Below are 22,098 nucleotides of genomic sequence, written 5' to 3'. Positions count from 1 at the left end.
CTCATTGCTTCCTAAGGGCCTGAAGTCTGAGTGGGAAGGACTTCACCTCACAGTATTTCCTTTTTGTAAGGTCACCAGGAAAGCACAACTTTGAACATTTCTGTGACTTCGTTATTGCTTTGCAGAATTCAGAGAGAACAATGCCTTCATGACATTTGTTTTACTTTGCATCTTTCTTCTTTACTAAAGGTGGGTCAGTGGAGGTTTTATATTTCAGCTTTGAAAAACAAAGTATCCAGGACTATTTGCCCCAGGAGGCCAAGAAACCTCTTACAAGAACCTTAAATATTGTTGGTTGCCTCTGGGGGCTGTCCGCACCCTCGGGTAGCTTTGGGGTTGAGGTTTCCAGCGTTAGGTCGGGCTTGGAGTAGAGCCTGCCTCCCACGGGGGTGGTGGGTGTGGGCTGCACTTCCCGCAGCCACTTCAAACAAATCTCTGAGGACAGAGGGGCAGAGGGACTGCGTTCTAATACGGAGCTCCGAGGTATGGCTCCGTGAGGCTTGTGGGTACTAGCGGTCCTTTAGTGGGCGCTTTTCCCTCTCGGGGCCGGCCGACCACCCACCTGGGGACGATCCCAGGCAGGAACGCGTCTGCAAGAGCGCTGCCCTCCCGCGGCTCGCACGGGCCCCTTTGAGCGCAGCTCGCGGCCTTGCAGGTTGGGGACGCTCTCCAGTGGGAACGTCGAACGCACCCGGCGGGGCGGGGCGGGGCAGGGAGGGGCCGCTGTCCCTAGGTCCCTCCCTCGCACCGCCAAACTTTCCTTTGGCTCTGGACGCGTCGCAGGGGTCGCTGGAGAGGAGGCGCTCCGCCCGCCCGCCGCGTCCTCCGCTGCTTCTCCGCGCCCGGCTGGAGCCCGGCGCCCGGTCGCCCCGTCGCGCTCGACCCCGAGGGCATGCGGCAGCCGCAGGGGCCCCCGCTCCCGGGCTCGGCGGCGCGGGTGAACGTGAGCGGTGAGTGAGGGTCCGGGCGCAGGGAGGGTACCCCGAGCCGCAGTCACCAGGGCGTGCGTCGTGGGGAGGCCGGGGCGCAGCGGCGCCTGCAGGGCTCTAGCCTGCGGCTTTTCGGGGTTGCCTGGCGTGCAAGCCTGGGCTCCAGACCCACTCCAAACCCCGGGACAAGACTCTCCCGGCGGGTGTATGGCACAACTTGCTCTTTTCCCACCTTTTTCCCCGCTAGGAGCAAAAAGCAATCTAGATGCAAAATCGGCGTTGCGTCCGCTGCTGAGGGCTGGCGGGCTGGGCGCAGAGGCCAGGAGAGCGCCGCACGGGTTGCGTCTGCCTTTGCACACGTGGTTCTTTCCAAACTCAGTCTCATTGCCATCGATGGTGATTAGGAAACTGGGGTTCTCTCGTGAAGCCTAGGGATATAACATTTTTCAGCCTCCAGTTACATCTGGTACTGTGCTGTGTCCGCTGGGGAACAGCTTGAACCATGTGCAGGCTTCTAGAGATTCGGGAACTAGTAACTAGCAACACTGTCGGGGTTGTTTGTTCAGGGTATGCCCCCTCACCACCACGAGACAAAAGTGCTTTTGTTCTGTAGCAGAGTTACTTTATTGCTTTCCCTCAACAAGTTGCAGCTACACAAAATTGCTTAGAAATTCCGCACGCATGTAATTTGAGGAGTGACTGTGAATATTGGAAACAATTTAGTCTTATTAAGGTAATCATTAAAATGGCCCTGAAAAGCATTTGTAGGTTAGTTTTTATTTATTTATTTATTTATTTATTTATTTATTTATTTATTTATTTTTGAGACACAGTCTCGCACTATCATCCGGGCTGGAGTGCAGTGGCGCGATCTCGGCTCACTGCAACCTCCGCCTCCCAGGTTCGAGCGATTCTCCTGCCTCAGCCTCCCTAGTAGCTGGGATTGCAGGCGCCCACCACCACGCTAGGCTAATTTTTTGTATTTTTAGTAGAGACGGGGTTCCACTGTGTTGGCCAGGCTGATCTCGAACGCTTGACCTCGTGATCCACCCTCCTCAGCATCCCAAAGTGCTGGGATTACAGGTGTGAGCCACTGCGCCCGGCTAGGTCAGTTTTTTAAACTGAGTAATTTCCACGAAATGTTTCCCCCGTAATTTGTTATTGTCATTACAACGCTTTTCTTCCTCCTTTTCCTCCGAAAGTAGCATTACCTGGTCTTGAGATGCCGTTTAGAAATAAAGGGCTTTCTCACGGTTCCAACTTAGTCTGTATCAGAGAATAAAGTAAATGTCAATTACAGACAGACAATCAATCTCCTCTTTACAAATTCCATGTACCGCACAACGTTTCATTAATGCATGGACTTTTGTATCGCTGAGAAGAGTTGCTGGATTTTCCATTGATCCATCAACAGTTGCTAACCCTGCTTTCCATGGGCAGTGGATCTGATATTTAGTGGCCTGAGTCCAGTAAACAGAGTTTTCCTCTTTTTGGGACAGAAGTGATACGGTTAGAAACACACACCTTGGCTCTGTTAACCCCAGGCTTGTCTAAACAAACTGGACTATACTAAAAAGACGAGCGAGCAAACCCTGCCAGTCAGAGTTGTGTACTTGAGATAAGCTTCCAGAGTTGTCTCTTGTGCCTTGAGACAGCAAGGAACTAGTTATCCTGTGGAGATCTGGACGTCTAACTATTTGGACAACACTTACATTGATTGTCACTATCATATAACTAAGAAAATAGGTCATTTTGGCAAAAATTTTTTCTTTGTCTTTAGAATTTGAAACTTTGAGGTTTTGATTTAATTACATATGACACTCCTCTTGTCTAAACCTTTCAATTGCATTTATCAACTACCACTCTTTTTTTTTTTATCAGATCAGACCTATTTTAGATATCTTGCTGTTCTGCAAGATATTTGTTAGAACAGGCCTGCATATGTTTTCTATGAATGGAGACTGAATTTAAAACATTAAAGTATGAGATTGTTTTTCATGTGTGTTCACCGGAATCTGTTTAAGAAACTACAGCATGTTAACTCTCCATCTCATTTTTCAGAAACACACGTGCACAGTGGAAGAAATGCACACACAGCATTGTAGCCAGGCAGCACCCAGACACACACTCTCAACATCACTTATACACACATGCCTAAGGCTGGCTGCTTCTCCCCCAAGTTTCTCAGCCTGCTGCTGAGGAGCAGCAGTGCGTGATAACTTAAGACCCGCCTCTTATTTCTTTGGGCTGGGGCAAGGGGAATCACTATAACTGAAATGGGAATTACTGTACCTCAGATTACCCATTAGCCATTCTCCTTGGAGTATACATTAGTTCAAATGCTTTCTGGCCTGTGATTATACCCAACAGAGTGGTTAAGTCTGTTTGCAGGATTCTAGATGGCAGAGACCAGGCCCAAGGCATTATTAATGCAGTATAAATGGAAGACCAAGGCTTTGCAGTCAGACCAGCTTTTGTTCCAGTCCAAGCTTTGTGACCTTGGGCACATAGCTTCACCTCTCTAAGTCTTAATTTCCTCATCTGTAAAAATGAAGATTATATCCATCTCCCAAGATTAAAAGAGAAAGCACTGAGCATGGTCTCTCATATACAGGAAGTACTCCTTAAATGCTGGTTGCCCTCTTTTCCTCCTAGATAAAAATTTAAGTATTAACACTTGTGTAAACATGGGTGCAAATGTATATTCTGGTAAAAGTGCAAAGATTTCTAAGCCTTAGATGACTTAGAGATGTTATACACACTTTTCTTACTTGCTTTCTCTTTTCCTGGCCATGGGCCTTTTGTTCCTCCCTTCGTCATTCCTCCTGCAGGTACTGAGCCTCCCCCTTTCCGGCCTTGATGATCCTTTGTTCCTCATCCTGGATTCTGTATTTGTGGAGGAGTCACCTGGAACTCAGTCCTGCTGTGGATGGCAGAGGTGGTGATGGGGCTGGGGAGCTATCTGCATAAGTGCAGAGACTTTGTGCTTTTACAAACGGTGGACTAGAGGTACTTGGAGCACAGGGTTCTGTCTTTGAATCCTAGTCCCACTTTTGTGAGTTCTTGTGACCCTGAATAGATTGTCATGTTTAAGTTTTTTTCATTTATATAGTGGGGATAATAATTACTTTTCTACCTGTCTACATGGATTGTTAATGAGTTCCATTAACTTATGTACGTGAAAGAGCTTTGTACCCTGTGAAGAGTGCATAAACATTGGAATTAAAGAGGCAGGACATCCAGATGTGGGCCACCCCAGGCAGGCCCACTCAGCTCTGGCTATTGGGGGTTGGCAGTATCTCCACAAGCATGTTTTGAGTGCTAAGGGGGCACTGCTGCAGTTCTTCCATATTCCTCTCTCCCGTCCTCTGACATCATACTGGACTTCGAGGAGGAAATAGCATCAAAGGTTGAGAAACTGCTCTGTGGGGAATATGAGAGGAAGTTAAATTTCAGGACTGAGGTTACCCAACACTACATGATCGAAGGCATAGGGCAAAGTTCCAAAGAAGCTTTAATTTCGTGTTGGAATTACCTGTACTGTCTGCGCATCTCAGTTCTTAGTGGACAAACACAAACAGCTGGCCACCACCCATCCCACAGGTCAGGAGGAGGGTGCTGATGGCAATGTTGGACAATGTATTGGGTCCACCTATACCATCCTCACTCCCCTGTGCCTTCTTGCTGACTTGGGTCTCTAGTTTACTCTGCAAAGTTCTAAACTGACCAAAGGCATTGCTCCCCCACCCCCAAATTAAGCTAATTACTTAATTCAGTCTGAAAGATATTTGTTGCTCTCTACCTGTCCTGGCAAGCCAGCTGGAGGGTGGGGGAGGGGATTTAGTACCATTGAGGGGAAGGTTCTGACATCCTGGGTTATACCCACCCCTCTCTTCATCACCCCCAGTCTTATGTCCTCCTCTTTATTCCTCTTCCTTGGCTGGCCTCTTGTCCTGTGTATCTACAACCTTGAACTCCTCCCTTGCCCATGACCCCTGATACTGCCCTACTCCCATGATTCTGTCACCCCTCTTCAGATGTGAATCATTTGTACACCTCAGGCTGGGCCAGACTGGGTGTCACTGTGGAAAGCAACCTGCCCAGCACAGCCTGCCCCACCCCTTCCTGAGGATGTTCATCAACCCCTCTAATTACTCATCAGCTAGTCCTGTGTCTACATTGTTCCCTGGGACATTAAGCTGGAGCTTCTACTAGCCCTGGCCTTGACTCACCCATGTGCAGATTGACCAGTTATCAAGGGATGGCTTGGCAGGTGGCAGGGCTGGGTTGGAGGGCACATTAGCCCCTCCATAAGTGCACTATTTGGTCCAAAGGCCTTCCAAGCAAACATGCGGTCTAAATAAAAGCAGTGTATTTGCTTTATAAATGCAGCTTTAAGGCAAGCCCCTGGTCTCCCCTTTTAAGCCAAGCTATCCCGAAGCACATCCTCTGTAGAAATTCTGGAGCTGCCCCCAGACAGACTCAGACCATGTAATTCAAAGATAGGCAGCGGAGTCTATCAGCAGCATTCACTCCCTAAGGAGGTAGAAAGCCAGAGTTAAGACTCAAAGCCATTGGCAGTGACTAGTTATAGAAAACCAAAGCAAGGGATCAAGTATAGAATTTATTGGGAGCACATCAGTGAATCATTTACCTCCTGCCCTGTTTGATTTTTAGTAAGTCAGTTCGTCGAATGGGGGTAAGGAAGGCCTTTCTCTGGACAAAAACTATCACATGGGTCTGGTGAAGAGAAAATAAGTAGTATAATCTTTTTCTATGTCTCCATGGCATTAGGTTTGAAATCTCAATCTCTCCCTCTCTCTCCCTCCCTCCTTCTCTCTGTCTCTGCCTCTCTCTGTGTGTGTGTGTGTGTGTGTGTGTGTGTATGTATGTATATATATATATATAAAATATACATCATCAGTCTTTATTCTGAGAGGAAGTCATAGACATTATTCTCCATCACTCTTGAAAACACTCCAGCATAAAAAAAAAAGCAAGCACTCTGTCCTCCTATATAACCAGCGTACACCCATCAAATCAGGAAATGGACATTGATACAAAACACTATCATCCAATCCACAGAGCCCATTCCTATTTCGTCAGTTATCCCCCAAATGTCTCTTCTACCTGTCTGATCTAGGATTCATGTTACATTTAGTTACCATGTCTCTTCTGGAACGGTTCCTCAGACTTTCCCTGTTCCTAAAGTGTTTGCAGTTGTATAGGTCCTACATGCTGTAGGATGACTCCCAACCTGGCTGTATTGGGTATTTCTTCACAGCCTGACTGAGGTCATGCATTCTTGGCAGGAATCCTTCAGAAATGAAACTCAGCTCTTCTTAGCTTCTTACAACAGAAGGCACATGGTGCCAACCCATCCCACTGCTGGGATATTGACCTCAATCACCTGGTTATGTTGGTGTTTGCCAGATTTCTTCACCTTAAATTCGCCATTTTTCCTTCGTTTCCCTTTGTTTCCCCAAAGGTGTTTGAAAACACCTTTGTACTAGTGTTTGTGGGGAACTATTCTAGGGTTATGCAAATAGCCTGTTCCTCATTAAACCTGTACCTACAGAAACTACCATTTATTGATGACGTCTGCCTGAATCAGCCACCTCTATGAATGTTGCCAAATGGTGATTCTTTTTTTTTTTTTTTAAGACAAGGTCTCACTCTGTTGCCATGCTGGAGTGCAGTGGCATGATCTTGGCTCACTGCAGCCCCAACCTCCTGGGCTCAAGTGATCCTCCTGCCTCAGCCCCCCAAGTTGCTGGAACTACAAGTGCACACTACCACACCTGGCTTATTTTTTTTTTTTTGTATTTTTTGTAGAGATGGAGTTGGTTTCACCATGGTGCCCAAGCTGGTCTCGAAATCCTGAGCTCAAGTGATCCACCTGCCTTGGCCTCCCAAAGTGCTGGGATTACAGGCATGAGCCCCTGCACCCAGCCTCAAGTGATGATTCTTTATCACCGTCACTCTTTCTACATTTGTTAGTTGGCATACTACTATAAGGAAGAACTTTATTTTTCTGTTATGTTTTTACTAAGAACTGTTCATGGATTCCTTATGTATTCAATAAGTTGAAGTCTCACGATTGTTTTTTATTTTAATGCTCAAATTGTGCTCAATTTGGCCAATGGGGACCCCTTGGAGCTGCCTCCTGTGTCCTTTTAACACATCCCTATTATTCATTGAGCATTTCTTTATTTTCTGGCTCCACCAGATCATCTGGACTCATCTTCTACTTTCCTTGACCTAGTTAGGCCTCCCTTTTAGTAGAGAATGGTACTTTTGTCTTATTTATATTTTATATATTTAAGGCATACAACATGATATTTTCATGTATTTATCTTGATAAACATAGATGTAATGAAGTAATTACTACAGTCAAGCAAATTGACATGCCCATCATAGTTACCTTTCTTGTGTTTGTGATAAGAGTACCTAAAATCTACTCTCTTGGCAAATTAGCAGAATACAATATTTATTAATTTTAATTTTTTTAGAGACAGGGTCTTGCTCTGTACTACAGGCTGGAGTGCAGTGGCGTGATCATAGTTCACTGCAGCCTCTAACTCCTAGGTTTGAGCAGTCCTCCTATCTCAGCCTCCCAAGTAGCTAGGACTCCAGGTGCTCACCACCATTCCCGGCTAATTTAAAAAATATTTTTTAGAGGAGGGGTCTTGCTGTGTTGCCCAGGCTGGCCTCCAACTCCAGCCTTGAATCATCCTCCTGCCTTGGCATCCCAGGTGCTGGGATTACAGGTATGAGCTACCATGCTCAGCCTCAATACAGTATTAGTAACTGTAGTCCTTGTGTTGTACATTAGTGGAAACAGGGAAAAACAGAAGATGTAGATTAAAAGGTACGAAGTTGCAGTTATGTAGGATGAATAAGTCTTGAGATCTAATATGCAATATGAGAATTGTATTTAGACACCAATACATAGGAGGTTGATGTGCCCATTGTTACTGGGGTATTATTGCTTCTAGATCTCTCAGAGGACAGAGCTAGGAAATATATGTGTATATGTGTACACACATTTATAAATTTTTCTATATTAGGCTGTGTATTATAAAATCATGATTCATACTTATACCTACAATTTCAATCTAACACCCAAAGAGCTTTCTGTTCTTCCCCCTTTATATGTTTGTACATATCTTCTCTGGCAGTTAGAAAACCTGACTCTCATTATCTTCAATATTTTTGCTTATTTGCATACAGTAACCAGTCTTACAAATGTGAAGGTCATCCTGCCTCCTCTGTGTCCACCACCTTTGCCACTGCCTCTTGTCCTCGGCTGCCAGGCCTGCTAGCCTGTGTCTCTATGTAGCTTAATCATCAGTCTCCAGTCCCTCTAGCTCACAGCTCTTCCCAGCCATAGCTCATGTCTCTATGTACCTCCCCAAACTCCCCAGCCTCACGTTGCATTCCCAGCTACATGCTGATTGCTGTGTTCTGGGGAAGGAAGAAAAGAGAAGGGAAAGGAAGAAAGAAAATAGGAATGGAAGGAAAGCAAAGAGGAATAGTGTATATATTTTAAAGTCTCATTAGATATTGCCAAATTGCCTTCCCCCAAAGTTCTATCAGTTTACATTCTCACCAACATGTTATGAGGGTACTATTTTCCCCACATTCTTGCCAACACTTGTTGGCAAGTAATAGCCGCTTGTTTAAATGTTATCAATCTGATAGCACTCCAGTTTTAGCTCTATTACAGCTCTGCCACACTTAACCCTGTATTATATGTCTCATCTCACCCTCTAGGTCAGGATTTCTCAACCTTAGCACCACTGACATTTTGGACCGGATACTTCTCTGTTGTGGAGAGCTGGCCTGTGCATTGTAGCGTGTGCAGCAGCATTCCTGGCCTCTGCCCGGTAGATGCCAATAGTACCCCCCTCCCCCAAGTCATGACTGATGCAGATGTCTCCAGATATTGCTAGGAATCCCTGGGAGGAGGAGAGGATTGGCCCTGGCTGCTCTAGATAATGAGTTTCCTGGGGGAATTTTGCATCTTTACACATGTCTTCATGCACTTCTGTCTTTGACGTACATATGCTGAACAGTGAGAGAACGTTAGCTGGACAGGGATGAGAGGAATAAAAGGTTAGGTGGAATCCACTACAACAGGACCAGTGGAACTTGTTCACTGCAAGTATGCAACTTTCCACAAATGCAAATTCCAGGAACATCCAACAGAGGGAAGTGAAGAGGAATGTCAGCAAGGTTAACTTTCCATGGATTGCTACCAGGTTATTACTTGTCTTTCTGAGTTCATTTTTGCCCCAGTTTCGTACAGACAGACAATGAGGTCTGTGGCCTATTTCAGCTGATATACTCTGTTTTGTTGATGGGGAAAGTAAAATGCTTTAGGAGAAGGTGTTAACATCATTTAACATTGTAGAGGTAAACTGAGTTTCTTCTGAGCTTTCTCTGAAACAGGCAAACTGACTAATGGTTGCTAATTTCTATGATGCATTTAGAGTTTTACTGTGATATTTTCATTTGATTATATAGATTTTCCTCCATAAACTCTTACCAAAAACTCTAAGGAGAGATGTGCTTCAAGATTTTTATTGACATTTACCACAATCATTATGTTAGAAATGCAAAATGCTTGTTCCCCGGTGCCACAAAGAAATAGCGCTTGAACATAAATTTAATTCTCTCAGCAAGGCAATTTTTACTTTCTGCGGAAAGGGTATACTCACCAGCAGTCTTGCCACGAGAGTACACCAAACAAAGGAAAAGCAGACATATTTATCCCTTACACATTTGGGTTGTCCTCACTGCTGTGTCCTGCATCCACTGGCTGGAGCCGAACCTCACAGTCTAAACTGATACCCGATTTGCTAAGAGCCTAAAACTTTTTTAGATAGGTAAAGGCAAGGGAGAACAAAGGAAAAGAGGAAGTTGCTTTTGAAAAATTTAAAGAAGTAATAACATTTCCAAATAAGAAAGGGGCATAGGCTGTGAGCTGGAACATGCCTGTGAGCATGTCCAACAGCTACATGCTTAACAAAGAGTTATTAGCACAAAGCAAGGAGGCTTGAAGAAAAATTTTAAAAGAAACTATTATTTCTAACATTTATGATTTATTATTTAACAAGAAGGGAAACTTTGAAGAGGAAACTTTTTACTTTCTGCAATTATATTTCTTCTAGATTCAGTAAATGTTTGCAAAAGGCATTAATGTCATTATGGAGAACAAATCTACGTCTTACATTTCTCTGGGGGTCAGGTGGCAGAGACTGCTTCCAAAAAGAGGCTCCAGTGGTCAGTATTGTTTAAAAAAAAAAAAAACAAAAAAATCCCTGGGCCAGAAGGATGAGGGCTGGTCAGGGTGAATCAGTCCCCAATTTCTACATTTCTTCTCTGTAAAATGGAGAATGCTGAACTGCCCATCTCACTGTGGGATCAAATGGGGAAAGAGATGTAAACTTTGAAATTTGTTCACTAGTATATCAGTGAATGTGTTTTGGTGGATTACTCCAAGATCCTGAAGGAGTGGTTTAGAGGAAGTATGGTAACATAGTAAGAATGTTAAACATTAGGTTTTCAACCCAGCTGGCTAAACCCCTCTTTCCTGATTGTACACATTCATCTGGGACTCTGGGACTAAAAGGTAATGAAAAACACCAGCTAGTGACTCTCTGACTAGATTGGTAGAAGAGAGAAGGCTTTGGCTTTAGGGTGTTATTGTGGTGACCCACCCAGTGTGAGGGAAAGGATTCTTCCTTTGGTCTCCTCTTCCCAATATTCTCTGTTGGGGTCCCTTTTCCCCAGCCTTTTGGGAACAAGCTCACCGTGGAGCTCAGTGGACTTTCTCTGACTCCTCTAGACCTTGAAGTGGACTGGGGCTTTACATTTGCTACGTCATTCACTTTGTCCCACTAACCTGACAAGTTAGATCTTATCTCCCTTTTACAAAAAAGGAAATCGAGGCTCCATTTCTCAGATCCCACTGATAATAACAATAATTAAATTAGAACTGTTTGTTAGGGGCTAGTCTAAGCACCTTTAAATCTCCTAACAGCCTTAGGAGGAAGTTACCTTTATTATCCCCGTTTTGTAGATGAGGAAATTAAGATAGAGAAGATAACTAACTTGTTGGTAAGCAAGGCTTTAAACTCAGTCTGGCTATCTCCAGGGCCATGCCCTTTTGCATGTGAGTATCTATTTTTTTCTAGCACCATTTTTTTTTATTATTATACTTTAAGTTCTAGGGTACATGTGCACAACGTGCAGGTTTGTTACATATGTATAGCACCATTTGTTGAAGAGACTATCTTTTCTCCATTGTGAATTCTTGGCACCCTTGTCAAAGATCCGTTGATTATGTATGTGTGGGTTTATTTTTGGGCTCTCTAGTCTTTTCCACTGGTCTATATGTTGGACTTTATGCCAGTACCATACTACCATACATAGCTTTGTAGTATGTTTTAAAATCAGGAAATGTGAGGCCTCCAGCTTTGTTCTTCTTTCTTATGATTGTTTTAGCTATTCAGGGTCCTTTGTAGTTCCAGATGAATTTTAGGATTTTTTAATATTTCTGTAAAAAATGCCATTCAGATTTTTGTAGGGATTGCATTGAATCTATAGATTGCTTTGGGTAGTATGGACATTTTCACAGTATTAAGTCTTCTGATTCATGAACATGAAATGTATTTACCTCTATTTGTGTCTTTAAAAATTTCCTTATCAGTGTTTTATAGTTTTCAGTGTATAAGTCTTTTGCCTTTCTGATTAAGTTTATTTGTCAGGGTTTTATTCTTTTTAATACTATTGTGAATTTAATTGTTTTCATAATTTCCTTTTTTGGATTGTTTGTTGTTAGTGCATAGAAATAAATGCAACTGATTTTTGTATGTGCATTTTGTATCCTGCAACTTTACTGAATTAGTTTATTAGTTCTAATGGGTGTTTTGGTGGCATCTTTGGTGATTTCTTCATATAAGATCATGTTGTTGATGAACGGAGATAATTTTACTTCTTTGTTTCCAATCTGTATGACTTTTATTTATTTTTCTTGCCTAATTGCTGTGGCTGGGACTTCCAATACTATGTCGAATAGCAGTGATAAGAGTGGGCATCCTTGCTTTGTTCCTCATCTTGGAGCAAAAGCTTTCAGTTTTTCACCATTGAGTATGATGTTAGCTGTGGGGGCCATGCTCTTTAAATACTCGGCTCACCTGCTTATCTGCTAGTGTTTGGACCTAAATCCTGTGTTCTTCTGCTGTACTGCATTGCCTCTCTTCTCCTCTCCCTCCTCTTCCCCCTTTCCAATCCTGCCTCCCTGCTTTGTTTCAAGCTACAGCAGAGTGAATGTGGTACTGTCTTAAGCTTAGTCACTGCAGCACTGAGCCCATACTCAGGCAGGGGGACATTCTTTCTTGGACTGTAGTTATTTTAGTGTAGTTACAGGATGATTTTGTCACCATTCCTTGTTAAATTGAGGTGTTAGAGCATGAACAGTTAATCTCCCAGAATGCCAGTTGTATGTTTCACCAAACTTTTTAGAAATTTTGAGTTATCTAACCTTCTTGGGAAGTGCTGTCTGCCATTTATTGAGTGCATCCTGTGTACTAAGCATTTCCTTAAGCACTATAGAAATAATTGCTTTAATTTAGTCCATCCAACAATCCTACACAGTTGTCATGATTATGCCAGTTTTAGAGAAGGAAAAGGTTCTGGCCAGATCAGCAGTGTGCCAGGTGAGAGCCACTGCTAAAAGTGATGCGCCTGCATCTGACCCAGGTCCAGCTGATTCTGAAGCTTCCCCTCCCCTTCCCTCCCCTCACCATCCTGCCCCTACCATGCCTCACAACCTGCCATGCTTTCCTTCAGCGTGCAGGTGACCCCAGAACTCCACAGGTCTGGCTATCCCTTCTCTAACCTCTGTTTTAAATACTCACTCTAAAATGTCCTTTCTGTTCTTTGTTCTGACAAACATCCACTATTCAGTGGACAAGTAGAAACAAGAAAACCACCATAAAACTTCCCATTCAGAAGAATTGAAGACAAGTAACAGGGGCCTAAAAATGACGAAACCCTGCTGGGCAGGAATTATTAAGACCTCCCTGCCCTGGCAGTGGAGTCAGTTCCATGGTTGGTCCATGCTTCCCCTCTCTGGGTGGGGCCTCCCAGAAGCCTTGACTTTGTCTTTGTCCCCTGGGAAGTCCTTCCTTCTTCTGTACCCTCTGTGGCCACATTTGAAGGGTGTGGAAAGTGTGTACTCCTTGGGGGAGAATGAACGTGGGCCTTTCTGGGCCAAACTGTGGCTTCCCTGGTACTACAATTCCTTATAAACTTGATAGACTGCTAGTCAGTTCCACAGGTCAGTTACCGCATCCAAATCCCACTCTGGGTCAAGCTCTTAAGCATGACTTATTTTCCAGCTTGCATGCTTGGCTCATCTCTCTGCCTCTCTTCAGTAGTGTGTACTCTGAGGTCCTCTGCAGCATGGACTTGGATGGGAAGATGCACCCATACTCTGATCATTACTACAGACCTGCCTGGCATTGTCCCTTGCAACAGTTTACTGAGAGGTCTTTGAGATAGGCTGCAAGTGGTAATACTATTTTCTACTCTTTGGAGCTACACGGGCAATTGACTTTTCTGATTCTCCAAGGCCCTCCGTTTCTGGACACTGTCCATTCCTTTCCACCTTTGCTTACGTACTTGCAAAAAGTCTTGCCTGAGCTCATCTCTTTCTTGTCTCGCTTGCTAAAAGCTGCAAGGAGCAGCCAAAACAAGCTCATGTTCTGGTTCTGTTCAAGCAGTTCTCCTGCCTCAGCCTCCCGAGTAGCTGGCATTACAGGCATGTGCCACCACGCCCAGCTAATTTTGTACTTTTTAGTAGAGATGGGGTTTCTCCATGTTGGTCAGGCTGGTCTCGAACTCCCGACCTCAGGCAATCCTCCCACCTTGGCCTCCCAAAGTGCTGGGATTACAGGCATGAGCCACCACACCCAGCACATTGTGATGTTTTGATACATGTACTATATAGTGATCAGATTGATCAGATCAGAGTAATTAAATTGCTATAAACATTTCTGAGTGTTTATTTTCAATTTCTATACTTATTTTCTTGTTGATAGAAACTAGTCCATGGACTACGTGGATTTAGGCTGCCCAAAGGCTTTTCCCTGCTGGGTGTTCAAAGTGGATCACAGGCCTGTTTATGTTCCAACTTACAGGTAGGGAAAGGAGCATGGAGGAGGGCACCTTCATTGTTTTGGGGCTGACCTGGCAGCAGCACACTTCATTTATGCTTACATTCTAGTGGTAAGAACTTAGTCACGCAGCCACCCTAGCTGCAAGGAGGTACCAGGAGGCTGGAAAACCGAGTGTACAGTTGGGCGTCCTGGTGCCCAGCTATAAGCCCATTACTCTGTAAGAAAAGGAAAACGTGGGCTGGGCGTGGTGGCTCACGCTTATAATCCCATCACTTTGGGAGGCCGAGGTGGGTGGATCACGAGGCCAGGAGATTAAGACCATCCTGGCTAACACGGTGAAACCCTGTCTCTACCAAAAATACAAAAAAGTAGCTGAGCATGGTGGTGGGCACCTGTAGTCCCAGCTACTCGGGAGGCTGAGGCAGGAGAATGGCATGAACCTGGGAGGCAGAGCTTGCAGTGAGCCTAGATCGCGCCACTGTCCTCCAGCCTGGGCGACACAGCGAGATTCCATCTCAAAAAAAAAAAAAGAAAAAAGAAAAGAAAAGAAAGAAAAGGAAAATGTGATTTAGCAGTCTGTCCTACAGAACATAAAGCTAAATAATAATACAAAGAAATAATTACAAAAGAAGTCACAGGGCAATATGCAATTATGGGCAAATGAGTTAGAACAGCTGTGAGTTTAGTGTCATACCACCCATTGCATGACTTTTTAGAAATGGAGCCTGGGGTTCTGCAGCTTCTTTAATGTAGCCTGAGGGTCGAGGCTAGAGGTTAACCATGCAAAGTTCAAGTGAGAAGAGGCTAAGAAGCATTCTCAGTGGGAAAGTTCAGAAACCAGATTCCTAGGTTTGGAGCTGAGTTTGAATTCACAAAGCTATGTCCAGAGTAATTGGTCAGGAGCAGATTCAAAGGCAGGGAACACTATAGTAGTCAGGACTAGGCCTCAGGTAAAGTGGCTTCAGCAGTCTACCCTGAGCCCAAGGAAAACACCAGAGAGAGGGAGAGTGAAGGGTCCTAGCCAGTGTAGTTTGGACGGAGGCTTTCCAGTTCCAAACCATCCTGCCAACTTGCCAATGCTTCATTACAAACAACCCTGGGGTCCTGAAGTCACCATGATTTTATCCTCTGTGTTAAAATCCTGGTGTTTAAAGTTGAAACTTTTTTCCTTATGGTGGCCCCACTATCTTCCAACAGCTGAGCTGAGGTAGATTGAAAATTCATTTGAGAGTGCATACATGCTGCCCTCATGGTGCCTTTCTTCTTCTTTTAGCTCCAAGGCACATTGGGTTCCTGACATGCAAGTGGTAGCTTAGCATGAAAGAGAAGGCGTGAGAGGTGTCGGGGCTTGTGGTAATTATTTGGGGTCATCCACATAGAGGAAATAACTTAAGCAATAATATTTTTGGTAGAAGAGAATTTAAAGGGAAAAGAAGAGAGGGCTGAGAACCAAGTCTGGAAGTGTCTGCAATTCAAGAATGGTGGAAAAACAGGAGACAGGAATACTGAGGAGATTGGGAAAAAACAGGAGCGTCAAGTCACTGAGGCGGCAGGAGGGGAGTTTGAAGAAGGGAATAACTATTGTCAGCTTCCACAGTGAAACCAAAGAAAATAAGGACTGTAAACAGAAGATTTGGGAATTATTCAATCAAATTGAATACTTTAAAAAAAATTTATGTCAGATTCTGTTTGTGGTTCAAAAATCAGAGAGAGAAGGATACCAGCCCTGCTCCTAACAAATTTAGAAGTGAGGTTAAGTCAAATATTTAATAAAATATGTTGAATGTCATGTGAGGTCACAAGTATTTCTCAGCCTTTTTTTTTTTCAAGAATACCCTATACTTGCTTTCTTCTGCTGTATCATCCTAACATTGTTCAACACAATTGTCATCAGGTTTCCAAATCCCCTTATAACCAACTAACTGAAAGTAACCAACTAACTAACACATCGACCAGAGATTTGTTGTGCATCTACTTACTACATGCCACTGTACTGGACATGAGGGGCACAATCATGAGTCAGAAACTGTTCTTTTCCTTAAGAAGCTCATGGTCTGGTGGTAAAGGCTGACACGTAGGTGAAGAATGCATATACAGTGCAATGTCAGGGGACTCCCCACCCCACCTCCTGACTGAGAGTCCGAATCTAGTAAATAAAAATCCATTTTAGGAGCATCAATGTAACATGTATAAAAATTCCAGTTGTACGGATTATAGAGGTTCAAAAGTTGAGGATTGCCTCTGATCTTCCCCAAGCATATTTGTATTCAGATTGGGAGGAGTAGGTGAAGGAACAGAGGTTAAGAATGCTACAGTGAGATGAGGCTGTGGAATATGGAAGAGCTTATTCCTGAGCCCCCTTCTCTGTGCTCTGAGCCCCCAAGCTGCTTTGTCTACTTGGGGACTGTGTCTGACTTATGTCCCCAGAGTCTAAAGATCATCTGCCGTGATAGTAGTTCCACTAAGGCTGCAGGCAAGAGAGCTTTTCTGAGAGCAACACTTACCCAGCATCCCCCATGGCTGGCCAGTCACTGGAAACACCACTGTGTAGGATGAACCATAGTGCACACCTAAGTGCAGCTCTGTAGCTACATTTGCATTGCTTTTGCCTTGCATCTGGCTGCAGCTTCCCCTTGGCTCAGGTTGTCATTACCTTACCCCTTGCCAGACATCATAAGAAAAGTCTATTTCTTCCTTCTCTGTAGTGTCTAAATTCAAATGTGGCTAATCCTTAGAATTAAAATGTAAATCCATATCATGTATGAAATTTCCATGGTGCACAAGGCTGGAATACAGTTAGAGTTGGAACTGATTCTGAATGACATTGAAGGACATTTGTGAGGTAGATTCCAGTATGCAGTAAACCATGGGTAGATCACTCATTTATTGAATCACTTACTATCTGCAGAGAAATTTACTAGGGTTTTGGTATTTGTGCGGGGACATTGAGGACATCAAAAGAATTGTGCTACTGGTCCATGCCCTTGGGAATGTGATATATTCCCCTTTCTTTCTCTGAGAGTTGTTATAATTAGGAAAAGTGTACTAGATCATTCTAAAATATTTAAGAAAATCCATAACATGTATGACTTTTCAAATAACAGTTTTTGTTGTTATTACAATGTACTTTGAAAGACAACTGTAGAGTTCCACAGGCAAGAGGTGATATAGTCAACCTGGTAACCGGAGCGGCGGGGAGGGGATACCATTTACAGAGTGAGGGCAGAGATCGTAGAAACCAACAAGAGATGGTACAGTGTCCCCGAGCTAGAAGCAGCAAGGAGTGGTTAACACCTCTCAACCTGAAAGCTAGAGGAGGGAGGGGAGGCTACCTTTATATAGAGGGATGCCTGATAGTGGTTAACCCAGCCAACCTACAGCAACCTGGAGGGGAGGAGGCAGGAGAAATCAGTATCTCAACCTCATCCTCCCTGCCTTCCAATCTCTTGCTGTTCCTCTCATTGGCAGAAGCTGGAAAGCAAGGAAGCAGTCCCTAAGGGCCAGCCCTGTAGGATACAGGGTAGGGAGGGGAGCTGGAAGATGCATGTGATGAGATTAGGCACCACATTCAAATGTGCGTTATATTCATTTACACGACCTGGCTACCTTTACTACCAGACAGAACACGGGGTAGGAGAGGGAGGCAGGCAGGAGAGGAGGGGTATGAGATATGAGCCTTCCTCTCCAGTGATGGATGCTGCTTCCTAACCAAGGCATAGCATTCTCGAGGAGCCCCTCTGGCTTGTTTGTTTAGCAGTAACAGTGCTCTTCTTTAGTATCTTTGAAGCCTTGATTAGAATAACTGTTTCCCGCTACAGCTGCATGCTTTAAAAATATTATTTTCCTTCCTATGTAGAGTTTGAGGATTCAGACAGGCACTAACCTGGGTGTGTATGATCTCCAGAAGCAAGAAGGAGTTGCTGTAGGTCACTGTTAACCTGTTACTGGCAACAGGATTATTTGGAACAAACCATATGGAGCAAGAGACTCCTGACTATCCTTCTCAAGATAGGAGACAGGAGACAGGTTATGAAAAATGGAATGAGAAAGGGAATATGGTACCACAGTTGGATTAGGACAGATACTTTAAACCAAAATTTTGTCTGTTGTGAATTTTACAATGTAAAGAAATAGAATTTCCTTTTCATGGGAATTTGCCTTAGTTCATTTTCTGATGCTATAAAAGAGAATACCAGAGACTGGGTAATTTATAAAGAAAATAAATGTATTTCTCAGAGTCTGGAGACAGGGAAGTCCAAGAGCTTGGCACTGGCATCTGGCAAGGGCCATCCCATGGTGGAGGGGTGGAAGGGAGAGGCGAGCATGCGAGACAGAGAGGAAATCTGGCCAAACTCATTCTTTTTTATCAGGAGCCCACTCCTGTGATAACAAATCCACTCTCTCAGTAACAGTGTTAATCCATTAATCCACCTCTTAAAAGTCCTACCTCTCAGCACTGCTGCACTGGGGATTAAGTTTCCAACACATGAACTCTGGGGGGCATAATTATACCATAGCAGAAGTCACTGGTATAAACAAGCACTTTGAAATGTCTCAAAATATATTTTTGCATATGACAAGGTACTTTGTATAAGAAGAATATCTCTTTCAGCTGTGAATGTTCACACTTTAAAATTTGACATTCTCGGCCAAGCATGATGGCTCACGTCTGTCATCTCAGCACTTTGGGAGACCAACACAGGCGGATCATCTGAGATCAGGAGTTTGAGACCAGCCTGGCCAACATGGTGAAACCCCGTCTCTACTAAAAATACAAAAACTAGCCGGGCATGGTGGCTTGGGCCTGTAGTCCCAGCCACTCAGGAGGCTGAAGCAGGAGAATCGCTTGAACCAGGAAGGTGGAGGTTGCAGTGAGCCAAGATCGTACCACTGCACTCCAGCCTGGGTGACAGAGCTAGACTCCATCTCAAAAAAAAAAAAAAAAAATTGACATTCTCAACCCCTTCAAACAGTAAAGCTACTGAAATGTGATTATACAATGGTCTAAGGCTTATTTGCTGTATAATAGACCATGTCCAGTTATATTATGTGTAAATAATATTAATTTTAAGCATTTTGATTAGCATCTTTTACTTTTTCTGTCCTTTTATGAGTCAAGGGACAAGATGTATTAGTCATCTTTCTAGCCTAATGAGTTAGACAAATATTAAAATTTTATATAAAGCAAACACAAGTAAAGATTTGTGTTATGTTTGGATAAACTAAGTCAAGGAATTTGCTGATCCCATAAAATTCATCTGTCACCTCTTTTATTTAGTTCAATTCTGTATGTTTTCATGTTTGCTTTCCTGTTTAATGAATATGCTTAAGACAGTCTTTGGCCATCAGGAACATCTGGGGAACAATATCTTTGATTCTAGTTGTTTGTTAAACAAGTCCTAGGGTAGAAGCTGTGTGTATATACCAAGACCTTCTGTAAACCCCACTTGATTGGGAGAGAACAGTAGGTGAGCCCCCTGACGTGCCATGGGCTGTCCTCCCTGCCTAAAGGTCTCCAAAACTTGCACTGACACAAGAACCTGTTTATTCTGCTGAGCTCAGGCTGCAGTTTTCCCTGCGTGTCACCATCTCTGAGCTGAAGATGACCTGAGATGCTTAAGCTTTGCGTTTGTATTAAGTATTTTCCCAAGCACACCCATTGTACGCTTGCCTCTCTGTGGCTTCTCCTCTTGGAACCTCTACTGACCAGTATTATGGAGACTTTGTTGATACGTGAAACAGGATCCAGATCAGAGCAATTTTAGGTGTCTGAGTTTAAGATTTGTTCTAAAGAGGCTGGGCACCATGGCTCATGCCTGTAATCCCAGCACTTTGGGAGGCTGAGGCTGGCAGATCACTTGAGGTCAGGAGTTCTAGACCAGTCTGGCCAACACCGTGAAACCCCGTCTCTACTAATAATACAAGAATTAGCTGAGCATGGTGGCGGGCGCCTGTAATGCCAGCTACTCCAGAGGCTGAAGCAGGAGAATCACTTGAACCCGGGAGGCGGAGGCTGCAGTGAGCAGAGATTGTGCCACTGCACTCCAGCCTGGGTGACAGAGCAGAGACTCGTCTCAAAAAAAAAAAACAAACAAGCAAAACAAACAAAAAAAACTGTTCAAAAGAAGCAGAGTAACCAAACCCAAACTTTAGCAACACTGAGGGTTTAGCTTTCTCAAGAGAAATGATCTAGAGTATGAAGATACAGAAACCGAATTGTAACCCTACCCTTAACAAGCACCCCTCTAATAAACATATTCGCTTTATCCAAGAATATCAGAGGCATCTCATTCTCAGTTACAATGTCTGTTTAAATTTAATTTTGAACAAATTGCCACTCCTCTGTTTATTTTACCATATCAAAGAGTAAAGTAACTGCTTATGAAAGACAGGGGCTTTATTTATTTTAAAATTAGTGTAGTAGAGTCAACAACATGCCTCCTCTTTAAAAGTTATTTTTAATATTTGTTTATTTACAGAGCAGTCTTCTATATACAGAAAAATTGAACGGATAGTACAGAGAGTTCCTATGTTATAACCCCTCCCACACACAGTATCCCTTATTATTAAATCTTACATTACTGTGGTATATTTGTTGCAGTTAATGAACTGATAGGGATATGTTAACGTTAACTAAAATCTGTACTTTGTTTAGATTTCCTTAGTTCTTACCCCTATCCTTTCGGTGTTCCGGGATCCCACCCAGGATCCTTATTCTATTTAGCCATTATGTCTCCTTAGGCTCCTCTTGGCTGTGACCGTTTTTCAGGTTTTCTTTGTTTTTGATGAGTACCAGTTTTGAGGAGTACTGGTCAGAAATGTTGTAGAATGTTCCCCAACTGCGATTTAGCTGATGTTTTTCTCATGATTAGCCTGGGGTTATGGGTTTTTGGGAGGAAGATCACAGTAAACTGTGATTTACTCTCTGATCTTCATCATGAAGTAATACATCTTATCAAGATTACAGACTAGCAATATGACTTATCACTGTTGATGTTGACCTTGATCATCTGGCTGAAGTAGTGTTTGTCAAGTTTCTCTGCTGAGACGTCACTAACTGCCCCCACCGCCCGCCCCATTTCCATATTGTGCTCTTTGGAAGGAGGTCCCTGTGTACAGCCTACATATAAAGGAGCTATGCTCCCCCTCCTTTACAGCGGAATATCTATGTTATTTATTTGGTATTCTTCTGCCTGGGAGATTTGTCTCATCTTTCCATTTATTATTTTTTTCAATAATTTATTTATGTCAGTATGGACTCATGGATGTTTATACTTCGGGTTATAATCCAGTACTACTTTATTTTGTTGCCTGGATTGTTGTAGCTTTGGCCATTGGGTCCCTCTTTTGAAGTATTATTCAAAGAGGAATCTTTGTTTCTGGTGTTCATACTAATAGAGAGAGGTCTCTATTGTGAGACTGTCCTTCAGAACGACCCTGACTGGTCTGCTCAGGTGAGCTGCTTTTCTGGAGGTAGGGAACCCACTCCTTATACCTCTCAGCTTGCAGGACTTGGAGCCAAGTCTCCCCAGAGGAATAAATGGGTTGTGAGACCCAAATTAGAGAATATGCAGAAGAAGCATAAAGTAATAATGCTGAATTTGGGTAAAGGTTAGGGAGCATGTAGACATGAGTGCACAAGCATTACTTCATTTAATTCTACATTTAACAAGTATTTACTGAGTGCCTAATGTGTGCTGGGCATTGTTGCAGGCACCATAACAACATACGTTCTCTGCCTTCCTAAGCATAACTTCATCAAAAACAAGGAAAATCTGAAAAACTGTCACAGCCAAGAGGAGCCTAAGGAGACATAATGACTAAATAGAAGTTGGGGAGATAGACCGTAGCCCAAGTAGATAGTTGAGGTATGGAGAAATGCTGTGGAGAAAAATAAAGCAGGGTAAATGGCTTAAGTGCAGCAGCGGGTGGAGGCTTGGGGTGCTCTTTAGAGAGTGGCAGGGAAAGGATCTCTGAGG

General features: G+C 43.6%; 1 protein-coding gene across 1 annotated transcript in view; it reads left to right on the top strand.

The window, feature by feature from the left end:
• The first annotated feature begins 759 nt into the window (after positions 1–759).
• Positions 760–22,098, top strand: part of LPAR3 (lysophosphatidic acid receptor 3) — an 81,605-nt gene continuing 60,266 nt past the window's right edge. The window contains exon 1 of the mRNA NM_012152.3: positions 760–950. The gene's annotated coding sequence lies outside the window, so the exon portion shown is untranslated. The remainder of the gene's footprint in view (positions 951–22,098) is intronic.

This window comes from Homo sapiens, chromosome 1, assembly GCF_000001405.40.
Source record: "Homo sapiens chromosome 1, GRCh38.p14 Primary Assembly".
NCBI lineage: Eukaryota > Metazoa > Chordata > Mammalia > Primates > Hominidae > Homo > Homo sapiens.
Note: the sequence above shows the minus strand (reverse complement) of the source record. Positions and strands in the feature narration are given on the sequence as shown.